This window comes from Homo sapiens, chromosome X, assembly GCF_000001405.40.
Source record: "Homo sapiens chromosome X, GRCh38.p14 Primary Assembly".
NCBI classification, from domain to species: domain Eukaryota; kingdom Metazoa; phylum Chordata; class Mammalia; order Primates; family Hominidae; genus Homo; species Homo sapiens.
The window spans coordinates 103058406-103073217 of record NC_000023.11 but is presented as its reverse complement, the minus strand read 5'-3'; the positions used below and the strand labels follow the sequence as shown (position 1 = coordinate 103073217).

The 14812-nt window shown below is 42.0% G+C and overlaps 1 protein-coding gene across 1 annotated transcript, besides 1 other annotated feature; it reads left to right on the top strand.

Moving 5' to 3' along the window:
* Nucleotides 8863–9157: an enhancer, noted in NCBI's record as "tiled region #49; HepG2 Activating DNase unmatched - State 4:PromP, and K562 Activating non-DNase unmatched - State 7:EnhWF". NCBI's record gives its function as "activates a minimal TATA promoter and a strong SV40 promoter by Sharpr-MPRA in HepG2 and K562 cells {active_cell/tissue: HepG2 | K562}" and the evidence as "EXISTENCE:reporter gene assay evidence [ECO:0000049][PMID:27701403]".
* BEX1 (brain expressed X-linked 1) lies at nucleotides 9047–10567 on the top strand. Its single transcript, NM_018476.4, has 3 exons — nucleotides 9047–9122; nucleotides 9487–9576; nucleotides 9939–10567. Exon 3 carries the CDS (start codon nucleotides 9944–9946, stop codon nucleotides 10319–10321), a length of 378 nt encoding a protein of 125 aa, NP_060946.3. The 5' UTR covers nucleotides 9047–9122; nucleotides 9487–9576; nucleotides 9939–9943; the 3' UTR covers nucleotides 10322–10567.
* The last annotated feature ends 4245 nt before the right edge of the window (nucleotides 10568–14812 follow it).

Below are 14812 nucleotides of genomic sequence, written 5' to 3'. Positions count from 1 at the left end.
TCTAAGTCCTTTGCCCATTTTTGAATTGGGTTGTTTTCTGTTGTTGTTTTTGCTGAGTTGTAGGAGTTCTTTATATTTTCTAGCTATTAATCTCTTATCGGATACATGATTTGAAAATATTTTCCCGTTTCATTCCATTGCTACATCCTCTGATGCACAAAAGTCTTTCATTTTGATGTAGTACAATTTATCTGTTATTTTCTTTTGTTTCCTGTTCTTCTAGTGTCATATCCAAGAAATCATTGTGAAATCCAATATTATGAGGCTTGTCCCTGTGTCTTCTGCTAAGAGTTTCATGCTTTTAGCTCTTATATTTTGGTCTTTCATCCATTTTGAGTTAATTTTTGTATATGGTATAATGTAAAGGTATAACTTCATTCTTTTCTGTGTGGATATCCAGTTTCCCCAGCAACATTTGTTGAAGACTGTATTTTCCTCATTGGACAGTCTTTGCACCCTTTGAAAAGCATTTGACCATTTATGCCAGGATTTGTTTTTAGACTACCAATTCTATTTGTTTACATGTCTGCCATTCTGCCAGTACCACTGTTTTGATTACTGTAGCATTGTATTAAGCTTTGAAATCAGGATGTGGGAGACTTCAAATTTTGTTCTTTTTCAAGATTGTTTTGGCTAATCAGGTCCTTTGAGTTTCCATATGAATTTTAGGATAGATTTTGATTTCTGCAAGAACGTCATTGTGATTTTGATAGGGATTGCATTGAATCCATAGATCACTTTGGGTAGTATTAATATTTTAACAATACAATGTCTTCTAATCCATGAACAGAGGATGTCTTTGCATTTATTTGTCTTCTTAAATTTCTTTCAGTAACATTTCATAGTTTTTAGTGTACAAGTCTTTTGCTTCCTTGGTTAAGTTTAATCATAAGTATTTTAAATGAGATTGTTTTTTAATTATTCTTTCAGATTTCTCACTGTTAGTGTATAGAAATGTAAATAATTTTTTTTAAAAGACAGAGTTTCACTCTGTCACTCACGCTGGAGTGCGGTGGTGTGATCATAGCTCACTGTAACCTTGAACTCCTGCACTCAGGCAATCCTCCTGTTTCAGCCTCCTGAGTGGCTAGGACTATAGGCATGCACCACCACAGATGGCTAATTTTTAAAATAATTTTTTTGTAGATCAGAGTCTTGCTATATTGCCCAGGCTGGTCTCAAACTCATGGCCTCAAGCAATCCTCTCACCTCAGCCTCCCAAAGTGCTGGGATTACAGGAATGAGTCACTACATCCAGTCTTGTGTATTGATTTTGTATCCATCAACATTGCTGAATTCATTTATTACTTCTCACAGTTTTTTGGTGGAGTCTTTAGGATTTTCCACATATAAAATTATTTCAACTGCAAACAGAACTAACTAATTTTATTTCTTGTATAACTTGAATGCCTTTTACTTATTTTGCTTGCTTAATTGTTCTGGCTAGGACTTCCAGTACTGTGTTGAATAGAAGTGGCATGAGTGGGCATTATTTTCTTATTCCAATCTTAGAGGAAAAACTTTCAGTCTCTCACCATTGAGTATGATTTTACTCATGGGTTTTTCATATATGGCCTTTATTATGTTAATATAATTTCCTTCTATTCCTAGTTTATTGAGTGTTTTCAATTGTGAAAGGGTATAAGTTTTGTCAAATGCTTTTTCTAATTTAATTGAGATAATTATGTGCATTTTCCCCCTTCATTCTGTTAATGTGGTACATTACATGACTTGATTTTTATATGTTGAAGCACACTTGTATTCCAGGAATAAATCCCACTTGGTCATCATGTATAACCTTTTAATATCCTGTTGAATTTAGCTTGCAAGTATTTTGTTGAAGATATTTGCATCAGTATCCATAAGGGGTACTGTTCTATAGTTTTCTTGTAATACCTTTGAAATTATTTCGAAAAGTTATATTTACACTGCATTATAGTCTATTAAGTGTGCAATAGCATTATGTTTAGAAAAATGTAGGCCGGGCGTGGTGGCTCACGCCTGTAATCCCAGCACTTTGGGAGGCTGAGGCGGGCGAATCATGAGGTCAAGAGATCAAGACCATCCTGGCTAACACAGTGAAACCCCATCTCTACTAAAAATACAAAAAATTAGCCGGGCGTGGTGGTGGGTGCCTGTAGTCCCAGCTACTTGGGAGGCTGAGGCAGGAGAATGGCATGAACCCGGGAGGTGGAGCTTGCAGTGAGCCGAGATCACGCCACTGCACTCCAGCCTGGGGACAGAGCGGACTCCATCTCAGAAAAAAAAAAAGAAAAGAAAAGAAAAGAAAAAAGAAAGATGTAAATAGCCTAATTTTTAAAATACTTTATTGCTAAAAAATGCTAATGATTCTCCAAGCCTTCAGTGAGTCATAATCTTTTTGCTGAAAGGATAAATGGTCTTACCTCAATGTTAACGACTGCTTATTGATCAGGGTGATGGTTGCTGAGGATTGGGTTGGCTGTGGCAATCTGTTAAAATAAGGCAGCAGTGGCTGGGTGCAGTGGCACACGCCTGTAGTCCCAGACACCTGGGAGGCTGAGGAGAGAGTATCCCTTGACTGCAGGAGTTTGAGTCCAGCCTGGTCAACCTAGTGAGACCCCTGACTCTTACATTTAAAAAAAGACAACAATTAAGCTTTTTTTTTTTTTTTTTGAGATGGTGTCTCACTCTCTTGCCCAGGCTGGAGTGCAGTGGCATGATCTCTGCTCACTCAAGTTCCGCCTCCTGGGTTCACACCATTCTCCCGCCTCAGCCTCCCGAGTAGCTGGGACTACAGGCGCCCACCACCACGCCCGGCTAATTTTTTTGTATTTTTAGAAGAGACGGGGTTTCACCATACTAGCCAGGGTGGTCTCAATCTCCTGATCTCGTGATTCGCCCACCTTGGCCCCCCAAAGTGCTGGGATTACAGGTGTGAGCCACCACGTCCAGCCAACAATGAAGTTGTTGCTCCATTGATTGACTCTGCCTTACGTGAAAGATTTCTCTGTAGCATGTGATGCTGTTTGATAGCATTTACCCACAGTAGAACTTCTTTCAAAATTGGAATCAATCTTCTCAAACGTTGCCATTGCTGTATCAACTAAGTTTACGGCACATTTTAAATCCTTTGTTGTCATTTCAACATTGTTCACAGCATCTTCACCGGGAGTAGATTCCATCTTGAGAAACCACTTTCTTTGCTCATCCATAAGAAACAACTCCTCATCCATTTAAGTTTTATCATAACATTGCAGCAATTTATTCACATCTTGAGGCTCTCTCTATATATATTTTTTGAGATGGAGTCTTGCTCTGTCGCCCAGACTGGAGTGCAGTGGCACGATGTTGGCTCACTGAAAACTCCACCTCCCGGGTTCAAGTGATTCTCCTGCCTCAGCCTCCTGGATAGCTGGGATTACAGGCACGCGCCACCATGCCTGGCTAATTTTTGTATTTTTAGTAGAGACTTGGTTTCACCATCTTGGTCATTCTGGTCTCAAACTCCTGACCTCGTGATCTGCCCGCCTCAGCCTCCCGAAGTGCTGGGATTACAGGTGTAAGCCACTGTGCCCGGCCCAGGCTCTACTTCTAATTCTAGTTCTCTTGCTATTTCCACCATATCCGCAGTGACTTCCTCTACTGAAATCTTGAAACCTTCAAAGTAATCCATGATAATTGGAATCAACTTCTTCCAAACTCCTGTTAATGTTGATATTTTGATCTCCTCCCATGATTCAGAAATGTTCTTAATAGCATTTAGAATGATGAATCCCTTCCAGAAGATTGTCAATTTACTTTGCCTTAATCCATCAGAGGAATCACTATCTATGGCAGCTATTGTCTTATGAAATGTATTTCTTAAATAATAAACCTTGAAAGTCGAAATTACTTCTTGATCCGTGGGCTGAAAAATGGATGCTGTATTTGCAGGCACGAAAACAACGTTGATCACTTCGCACATCTTCATCAGAGCTCTTCAGTAGCTAGGTACATTGTCAATAAGCAGTAATATTTTGAAAGGAATCTTTTTTACTGAGCAATGGTTCTCAGTAGTTAATTTAAAATATTCAATAAACCATGCTGTAAACATATATGCTGTCATCCAGGCTTGGTTGGTTGTTCCATTTCTAGAGCACAAGTAGAGTAGATTTAGCAAAATTCTTTAGGACCCTAGGATATTCAGAATCTTCAATGAGCATTGGCTTCAACTTAAGGTCACCAGCTGCATAAGCCCCTAACAAAGGAGAGTGAGTCTGTTCTTTAAAGCTTTGAAGTCATGCATTGACTTCTCACTAGCTATGAAAGTATTAGATAGCACTAGCTATGAAAGTATTAGATAGCATCTTCTTCCAGTGGAAGGTTGTTTCATCTACACTGAACATTTGTCATTTAGCGTAGCCACCTTCACCAATTATCTTTGCTAAATCTTCTGGGTAACTTGCTGTAGCTTCTATATCAGCACTTGCTGTTTTACCTTGTGCTGTTACATTATGGAGATAATGTCTTCTCTCAAACTTCGTGAACCAGCCTCTGCTAGATTCAAACTTTTCTTCTGCACCTTCTTCACCTCTCTCAACCTTCACACAACTGAAGAGAGTTAACGCCTTGCTCTGCATTAGGCTTTGGCTTAAGGGAGTGTTGTGGCTGGTTTGATCTATTATTCAGACCACTAAAACTTTCTCCATATTAGCAATAAGGATGTTTTGCCTTTTTTTTGCCCAGGCTAGAGTGCACTGGCACTGTCCCGGCTCACTGCAACCTCCACCTCCCGGGTTCAAGCAATTCTCCTGCCTCAGCCTCCCGAGTAGCTAGGATTATAGGCACACACCACCACGCCTGGCTAATGTTTGTATTTTTAGTAGAGGCGGGGTTTCACCATGTTGGCAAGGCTAGTCTCAAACTCCTGACCTTGTGATCTGCCTACGTCGGCCTCCCAAAGTGCTGGAATTACAGGCGTGAGCCACCACACCTGTCCCTATTTTGGCTTTTGACATGCCTTCCTCACTACACTTAATAATTTCTAGCTTTTATTTTGGCTTTCGACATGCCTTCCTCACTACACTTAATAATTTCTCGCTTTTATTTTATTTATTTATTTTTTTGAGACGGAGTCTCATTCTGTCACCTGGGCTGGGGTACAGTGGCACAATCTCAGCTCACTGCAACCTCCACCTCCTGGGTTCAAGTGATTCTACTGCCTCAGCCTCCTGAGTAGCTAGGACTACAGGCACTCGCCACTACTCCCGGCTAATTTTTCTATTTTTTTATTAGGAACAGGGTTTTGCCATGTTGCCCAGGCTGGTCTCAAACTCCTGACCTCAAGTGATCTGCCCCGCTTGGCCTCCCAAAGTGTTGGGATTACAGGTGTGAGCCACCACGCCCGGCCAATGGAATTGTTTTGAGAGTCCAAAAGTAAAACTATGTGGCTAATCTCAAATGAATTTTGACAAGGGTTCCAAGACAATTCAGTGGAGAAATATAGTCTTTTCAACAAATGGTGCTTGGCCAACTGCATAGCCACATATAAAAGAATGAAGTTACACTCTTACCTCCCGCCTTATAAAAAACTAATTCAAACTGGGTCAAAGACCTAAATGGAAGAGCTAGAAGTATAAAACTCTTGGAGGAAAATATAGGGATAAATATTTGTGACCTTGGATTACAAAGGATTCTTAGATTCAAATGACTCTTGAATTCAAAAGATTCTTAGATATGACACCAATACCAGGAGCAGCAAAGAAAAAGGTAATCTAGACTTCATCAAAATTAAAAATTATTGTGTTTCCTTTTTTTGTTCTTTTGAGACAGAGTCTCGCTCTGTGGCTCAGGCTGGAGTGCAGTGGCACAATCTCGGCTCACTGCAACCTCCACCTCCCAAGTTCAAGCGATTCTCCTGCCTCAGCCTCCAGAGTAGCTGGGACTACAGGCAGGTGCTGCCACGCCTGGTTAATTTTTTGTATTTTTAGTAGAGATGGGGTTTCACCATGCTGGCCAGGCTGGTCTCAAACTCCTGACTTCAAGTGATTCGCCTGCCTTGGCCTCCCAAATTGCTGGAATTACAGGCATGAGCCACCGTGCCTGGCCAAACACCATTGTGTTTCAAAAGGCACCATTATGAAACTGATTAAAAAACCCACAGAATGGGCTAAAATATCTGCAGATCATATATGTAGTGAGGGATTTCTGTCTAGAATATATAAAAACTCTTGCAACTCAATAATAAAAAGAAAAATAACTCAAATAAAAAGTGCACAAAGATCTGAATAGACATTGATCCAAGGAGGATATACAAATGACCTATAAGCACATGAAAAGATGCACCACATTATTAGTCATCAAGGATATGCAAATCAAAACCACCATGATATACCACTTCACCCCCACTAAAATGGTTGGAATCAAAATTTCAGATAATAACAAATGTTGACAAGAATGTGGAGAAATCAAAACCGTCATATGCTACTGGTAGGAATGTAAAATATTCAGCCACTTTGGAACATAGTTTGGCAATTCCTCAAATGAGTAATCATATTGGAATCATAAAGCTTGAAAACATCATGCTAAATAAAAAATCCAATTTCCAAAGAATACATATTATACAATTTCATTCATATGAAATGTCAAAATAGGGAAATCTATAGACAGAAAACGTATTAGTAGTTGCTTTGGTATGAAGAGGATGGGGGAATAGGAGAGTGATAGCAAAAGAATAGGAGGTCGCTTTTTGAGGTGACGAAAATATCCTGAAGTTGACTGTGGTGATGGTTGCATGTATCTATGAATATGCTAAAAACCATTGAATTTTACACTTTAAATGGGCAATCTTATGGATTGCAAATTGTATCTCCATAAAGTTGTTTTTAAAAGATATAAATTGAGGCCAGGTGCGGTAGCTCACGCCTGTAATCCCAGCACTCAAGAGGCCGAGGTTGGCGGATCACCTAAAGTCAGGAGTTTGAGACAAGCGGGGCTAATATGGCTGAAATCCCGTCTCTACTAAAAATAAAAATAAAAATTAGCTGGGCATGGTGGTGTGCATCTGTAGTCCCAGCTACTCTGGAGGCTGAGGAAGGAATATCCCTTGAACCTGGGAGGCAGAGGTTGTAGTGAACCAAGATCACGCCACTGCACTCCAGCCTGGCTGACACAGTGAGTCTCCATCTAAAAAAAAAATATATATATACACACACACACACACACACACACACACACACACACACACACACACATATATAAATTGAGACTTAACCAGATTTGGTTATTATTTGAATATGAGGGACAATGTAGAGTGATTCAAGGATAATAGCCACATTTCTGGGTTGGTCAAGGGGTGAGTACTAAGGTAGAAAACAAAGGAAAATAAACATGTCTAAGGTGAGAAGAAGTGATGAGAGAGAGAGAGACCGAGAGAGAGAGGGAGAGAGACAGAGGAAGAAAAGAAGAAAAAGAAGAAGAAGAAGAAGAAGAGAGAAGAGAGAAGAAGGAAGAAGGAAGAAAGAAGAAGAAGAAAAAGAAGAAATAGTAGTATTAAGGGCTTCCACAGGCTTCTGAGTTGAGAAAGCCAAGTGTAGTAAGAATGGTCAGTGGAGAGTGTTCCCCAGGCCCTAGCATAAATGAAGAGGTATCAGAGTGGGTATGGACTGGCAGATAGTGACCCTGCAGCAAGACTAAGCTCTTCTGGGTGACCTGGAGGTGAGACAGTCAGGGTGAGGGTCTCGGTATGCTGCACTACAAAAGCCAGGTGAGAGATAGCAAAAATGTCCCAAAGAGACTTTTCCCCGGGGTGGGTGAAAAAGAGAAGAGAGCAGGCAGGTTTGAGAACTGCTCCCCACTCCTCCCACCTCCTCAATTACTTCTAGGCTTTTCTTGGAATCTCTCACCACAGAGCTGTAGAAAAGCCCTATTCTGGTTTCCAGAATGGGAAGAGACCTCCCAACTATGCTGAGAAGTGAGTCATTAGGTGGGAATTTGGGGAAGAAATAGAAGGAAGGAGCCAAAGTGATATATTAAGGTCACCACCTTGGTCACCTGTCCATCTATATTTTTGGAGTAAGCAACAGAATTAGGAGTCTGAACATAGGAATTAAGAAGCTCTCGAATATAACAGTGGAAGACCAGCACCTTCCCAACCTCTTGTCAGGGCAGGGATACTCTATCTCTGCGTCACTCAACCTGCCTTGGCCTCACAGCTCTTCCTTTTGCTTAAGTCTTCAAACCATCAACAGTGATAGCCACTAATTTTAGCAGGTGGCATTAGTTGTCAGCAAATGTTTTTTCATATTTAATGAATGTTTATTATAATAGAATAAAATAGAAATGTTTATTAATAAAACTTGAAATTTGTCCCAGAAGGATAAAAACGTAGATTATTTACATAAAATGGCCAAGATCTGACAACAGAACTGTTTCCTGAAGATTTACTTCACAGATTATTTTGAAAACACCAACTGTGTTCAGGAAAATTTTCTCTCCTTTTTTTCATAAAATTTTCAAACAAGTGAGAATGCTCTAAAAATGATGGTGTGGAGCCTAGAGAAAATGTTTTCTGTGTGCTATAGATGAACATAAACTATATATATATATTACTTTCCCAGGTTGAAGTGTTTCTTTCAAAAATAAAATTTGATTATTTTCAATTTTTTGAGGGATGCTGATTTTTAAAAAGGAAATAAAGAGAAATTATTAGGAAGCATATACACAGCCAGTGAGAAGAGGAAAGAAGAAAAGGCCAAGGCCAGAGGAAGGGGGTTTGGGGTGGGGGAAAGGAAGGGTACAGACCCTCCCAAATAACCGAAGATGGGTAAACTCCAACCGCAAAGCGATGATGCCACTTGTGGGCCCTCAGATTGGAGAGGACGGAGATGAGTGACGGGGCTGTGCGCACTGGGGCACCGCGCACAGACGGGAGGAGGGGGGTGTCTGTGTGTTCCAAAGGGGGGAGTACCAGTTAACTGGCCGCCGGCCCGTGGGGGTTGGTGAGAAGGAGGGTGAGCTTGGCGGTGACGCACGGCCCTCACGTGACCGGGAGCTGCAGAGCTACGCAGCCTTCGGTGCAGTCGTCACTCGTGTCTCGCTACCAGCTCCCCGCTGCCCTGCGCTCGGCGGGCTGGCATCCGGCCCGGGGGAAAGCGGACCAGGTAAGGGCCCCGGGGCCCGCGCGCCCTGGCTAGGCCAGCAGAGGCTCACCGACCCCCCCGACGAGCGCAGAACAGCGCAGGGGATCCCCGCCAGCTTTCTCCACACCCCAACATTCTTGGGAACATAGTGGTCCCCTGGGGTGGGGAAGCAGTGGCGGCTGGGGCTCCAGGGGCAGCAGAGCAACCAAGAGCGATGGAAAACCATTCCCGAGTCCTTGCAGGAAAACGGTGAACACCACGGGGGGCGAGGCGGCCGAGGGTGGGAGCGGGGGGCGGGAGACGCGGGGCGCTGGCAGTGAGGAGGGCCCTAGGCGGAGAAGGAGCTAGCGTTCCGCTGCAGCAGCCCCCCCTCCCCACACCCCAGCCCTTCTGCAGGTCTGCGGGGCCAAGTGTCCCGGCGGCGCACCTCGTGGCGAGAATCGGGAGAAGGAGGAGACTACAAGGATAGGCCCAGGTCAGTGCGAGGGACGGTGGTGGGGGCGGGTGCAGAGTCCAGTCTGAGGTCCCCTCCCAACTCCCCCATCTCCCGTCCTCCATTTTGGTGCCTGCCGAGATCTAGGGATGGATCTGTAGGGAAAATGGTGGGTTTGGGGGCAGGTAGGGGAAGACACGAGAGGTGGGGGGGGGGGCGGGCTCGAATGGGGGCCCCCTAGTGGGCGCACGAAACCTCTCTGGTGGGAAACGTGAAATTAAACAAAACAAAACATGTTGATAGCCATGACGCGGAATCCTGAAAAATGAGTAGCCGTGCCTCTGTCCTCGGTACTGAAGCGTTCACCAGCTGTTCAGCCCCTTCTCTCTCCTTTTGTCTCCTAGGAGTAATGGAGTCCAAAGAGAAACGAGCAGTAAACAGTCTCAGCATGGAAAATGCCAACCAAGAAAATGAAGAAAAGGAGCAAGTTGCTAATAAAGGGGAGCCCTTGGCCCTCCCTTTGGATGCTGGTGAATACTGTGTGCCTAGAGGAAATCGTAGGCGGTTCCGCGTTAGGCAGCCCATCCTGCAGTATAGATGGGATATGATGCATAGGCTTGGAGAACCACAGGCAAGGATGAGAGAAGAGAATATGGAAAGGATTGGGGAGGAGGTGAGACAGCTGATGGAAAAGCTGAGGGAAAAGCAGTTGAGTCATAGTCTGCGGGCAGTCAGCACTGACCCCCCTCACCATGACCATCATGATGAGTTTTGCCTTATGCCCTGAATCCTGATGGTTTCCCTAAAGTTATTACGGAAACAGACCCCTGCTTTCGAATTTACATGTTCATGATGTGCCCTTGTTGTAAACCTTTACCTGTCACTTGTTTACGTGGGTCTCCTATTACCAGCTTCTAATTGAATATTGTGTTTTTGAACCAGTCTGTAAGATTTTTGTTAGCAGAAGAATTTTACCTATTGCATGGAAAGATGCTCATTATAGTGAAGTTAATAAAGCACCTTTAAAAAGCAATCTCTATATTCTTTTTTTGTTAAAAATTTATATTGATTGTACTTAATACATGAAAAGAAAAGTACTGAAATTAAATATACCAAAGGATTAATATAGGGACTCATTCTATGAGATGGGTTAATGTATTTTTTATATTTTCTGTAATTTAAGAAAAATTGGAAACATTTTTAAATAACCTTTGAAGGCAGTAGAGTCACTTAATAAATACTTGCTGATCAGCACTACTCACAAAAGCAAAGACATGGAATCAACATAAATGTCCATCAGTGAGAGACTGGATAAAGTAAATATACATATACATCATGGAATATTATGCAGCCATAAAAATAAAGAAATCATGTCTGTTGTGGGAATATGGATAGAGCTGGAGGCTATTATCCTTAGCAAACTAATGCAGGAACAGAAAACCAAATACTGCATATTCTCATTTATAAGTGGGAGCTAAATGAAAACTCATGAACACAAAAAAGGGAACAACACACACTGGGATCTGTAGGGGTGGAGAGTGGGAGGGGGAAGAGGAACCTAAAAGATAACTATTGGGTGCTGGGCTTAATACCTGGGTAATGAAATAATCTGTGCAACAACCACCCCCCCACCTGCCCCCAGCCCATGACACAAGTTCACCTATGTAACAAACCTTCACATGTACCCTGGAACCTAAAAGTTTTCTTAAAAAAAGAAAAAAAAAATACTTGCTAATCAAATTTGGATCTCTTAGCCAGGTAAATAAACTCAGGAATTTGTATAAGTTGGGGGTGGCATTTCCTTCACATGACTGGAATGAGGTCATTTGTGTGAGACCTGTGTTTACCTGTTTTTTCTCCCATCCACACCTATTATGCAAGACTCTCATCCTCAGATTTTCCCTTCAGATGTTTAGCAGAGTGCTCAAAGGTAGGTCTCACTAGTCCAGCATAGTTCCTATTCTCAGGAATAAAATGTCTGTTGGTCATGCTGTGGTTTCTTCATGACGAGGCAGGCACTTAACCGAAGTAAAATTAATAATGACTGAGTCAGGAGCTCTGAGTTTTTGTCTCGGTTCAGTTTCTAAACAAGTAAATAACTTTGGATGTGTAACTTAGATTACTTGCCATTCCTAAAGGAACACTGGGTTCATTTAGTAATGTCACAGTGTTTCTAAAACTATGCTAATCTGCCACCTGTGTGAGAATCACCAGGGGATTTCTTGAAAATGTGGATTCATACAAAGTTCTTGGGTCCCAACATAGATCCCCTGAATGGGGCTTCAGAACTTTTGTTTTTAGCAAGCTTTCCTGGTGATTCTGATGCACATTAATGTCTAAATGGCTACTGGTATGTAAATATTTACTATGATGTCAATTTTTTTTTTTTTTCTGAGACGGAGTCTCGCTCTGTTGCACCTCTGCCTTCCGGGTTCACGCCATTCTCCTGCCTCAGCCTCCTGAGTAGCTGGGACTACAGGCACCCGCCACCACGCCCGGCTAATTTTTTGTATTTTTTAGTAGAGATGGTGTTTCACCGTGTTAGCCAGGATGGTCTGGATCTCCTGACCTTGTGATCTGCCCACCTCGGCCTCCCAAAGTGCTGGGATTACAGGCGTGAGCCACCGTGCCCAGCTGATATCAGTTCTTAAAAGCCATAATAACTTGCAGAATATAAAGGTGAATATCTGAATTCAGTTCAGGGAACCATTAAAATGTAAAGGATGAGATCATGAAAAAAGCATTAGATTTATTACATAACAATTTGAATTTTATTATCTTTTGTGGAATATTAGGTGATTTCTTCTGTACTCAACTGCATTTTTCTTAACATGGATTACGTTAAGAAGAAATACAAGCTAACAACAGATCCAGATCCAAAGAACTATTCAGTTAGCTTACAAATGCAATTGAAACACATAAAAATTCCCATTGACAGAACTGAGATATGTAAATTTCATGTTAGCCTTGGATAGAGTATTCATGCCTTGGTGTAATTATCCCTCCTATGGAGTGCAGGTAAAATAACTGTCTTAATCAATAGAATACAGCAAAAGTGACGGGATGTCACTTCTGTGATTATGTTACAGAAGATTGTGATTGTCATCTTGCTAGCAGATTCATTCTGTCTCTTCCTTCCTCCTTCCTCCCACTTTTGCTGGCTTTGATGAAACAAGCTGCCATGTTGGAGAGGCACATATAGCAAGGAATTGAGAGTGTTCGCCAGCCAACAGCCAGTGAGGAACTCAGGCCCTCAGTCTAATAGCCCTCGAGGAATTGAATCCTGCCAAAACAACAAAGGTGAGTTTGGAAGCAGATTCTTGCCCAGCTTAGTCTTCAGATAAAACTGTGGCCCAGGCTAACATCTTGATTGCAGCCTTCTAAAAGACCCTGAGGTGGAGGATCCAGATAAGCCACACCCAGACTTTTGACTCACAGAATCTCTGGGATAATAAATGAACGTTCTTGTAAGCTGCTAAATTTTGGGGTGATTTGTTACACAACAATAGATAATTAATACAGTCTCTAAAGGATAATGGTGTTTTAAAACAACCACAGCACCATTATCAAACATAAAAATGGGCAAAAATTTCTTAATGTCCACTCTTCAAATTCTCAGTAGTTATATATATATATATATATATATATATATATATATATATATATAGAGAGAGAGAGAGAGAGAGAGAGAGAGAGAGAGAGAGAGAGAGATGGAGTTTCACTCTTGTTGCCTAGGCTGGAGTGCAATGACAGTCTCAGCTCACTACAGCCTCTGCCTCCCGGGTTCAAATGATTCTGCTGTCTCAGCCTCCCAAGTAGCTGGGATTACAGTTGCCCGCCACCATGCCTGGCTAATTTTTGTATTTTTAGTAGAGACAGAGTTTCACCATGTTGGCCAGGCTGGTCTCGAACTCCTGACCTCAGGTGATCTGCCTGCCTTGGCCTCCCAAAGTGTTGGGATTACAGGTGTGAGCCACTGTGCCCTCCCAGGTCTCATAATTTTTAACCTGAAACTATGTAAACTAACACAAAATAAATTATGTGCTTGAGGAACACTATTGGCCTCATCAAATTACAAATAACAGGAAACACCTAATGTAAAGCCTTCTACGGAGAAGCTGACAAAAGAATGCGTGTTTGAAAAAACGCCTCAGATCCAACATAGGTCTGGGGTCACAGACTCTGAAAGTCTAGCAAATGATAACAGAAAAGCTGGTCTGTTTATGCAATGAAAATTTAAGACAGTCTGAGGATAAGGAAGGGTTGTGACACACAACTGAGTAACCCCAAACAATCATTTGATACTCTGATATCTGCATTTTTCAGAAGTCTTGTCAAATAGTTACATGTACTCAGATTTGTCAAAGTAACTTGTTTAACTCTAGAAGGAAAAAAAATACCTGCATGGTGGCTCATGCCTGTAATCCCAGCACTTTGGGAGGCTGAGATGGGTCAGGAGTTGGAGACCAGCCTAGCCAACATGGCGAAACCCCATCTCTACTAAAAATATGAAAACTAGCAGGGTGTGGTGGTGGGCGCCTGTAATACCAGCTACTCAGGAGGCTGAGGCAGGAGAATTGCTTGAACCCGGGAGGCGGAGGTTGCAGTGAGCCGAGATCGCGCCATTGCACTCCAGCCTGGGAGACAGAGCGAGACTTTGTCTCAAAAAGAAAAAAAAAAAAGAAAAACTGGCTGCAGGCTGATAAAGTCGGAAAGATGCAGGCATAAATTACAAGATTACCATTCACTATTGCCATTGAGTAAATACCTTCAATGACAAGTTGTATTACAGTGCTATTAGAGGAAACATGGGACTGAGACAACAGGATAAACCAAAAAGCATAAGAAACCATTTCATTATCCAGTTTGATTGAAGAAGGGATGGAGTATGTCACCAAGAAGCCATTTTTTTTTTTCTCAAGACACACAAAATTTAGGGGACTAATATAAATACAGTAGGCCCTTCATATTTGTGGGTTCCGCATCCATGGATTCACCCAATCGTGGATCAAAAATATTTGGAAAAACAAATTCTATAAAGTTTCAACAAGAAAAATTTGAATTTGCAATATGCCAAGTACTACATGGAATCTGCATTTAACAAAGTTATATGTAGGCATTGTATAAGGTATTAAATGTAATCTAGACGTTGTGTAAAGTTTACAGGAGGATGTGTATAGGTTATGGGCAAATTCTATGTCATTTTATTTTAAGAAACTGAGCATCTGCAGATTTTTATATTCCTGGGGGTTCCTGACACCAGTTCCCCATGGACATT

Bases quoted from the DNA above. Each gene is read 5' to 3' on its own strand.
- BEX1 (NM_018476.4), top strand. From the start codon at position 9,944: ATGGAGTCCAAAGAGAAACGAGCAGTAAACAGTCTCAGCATGGAAAAT.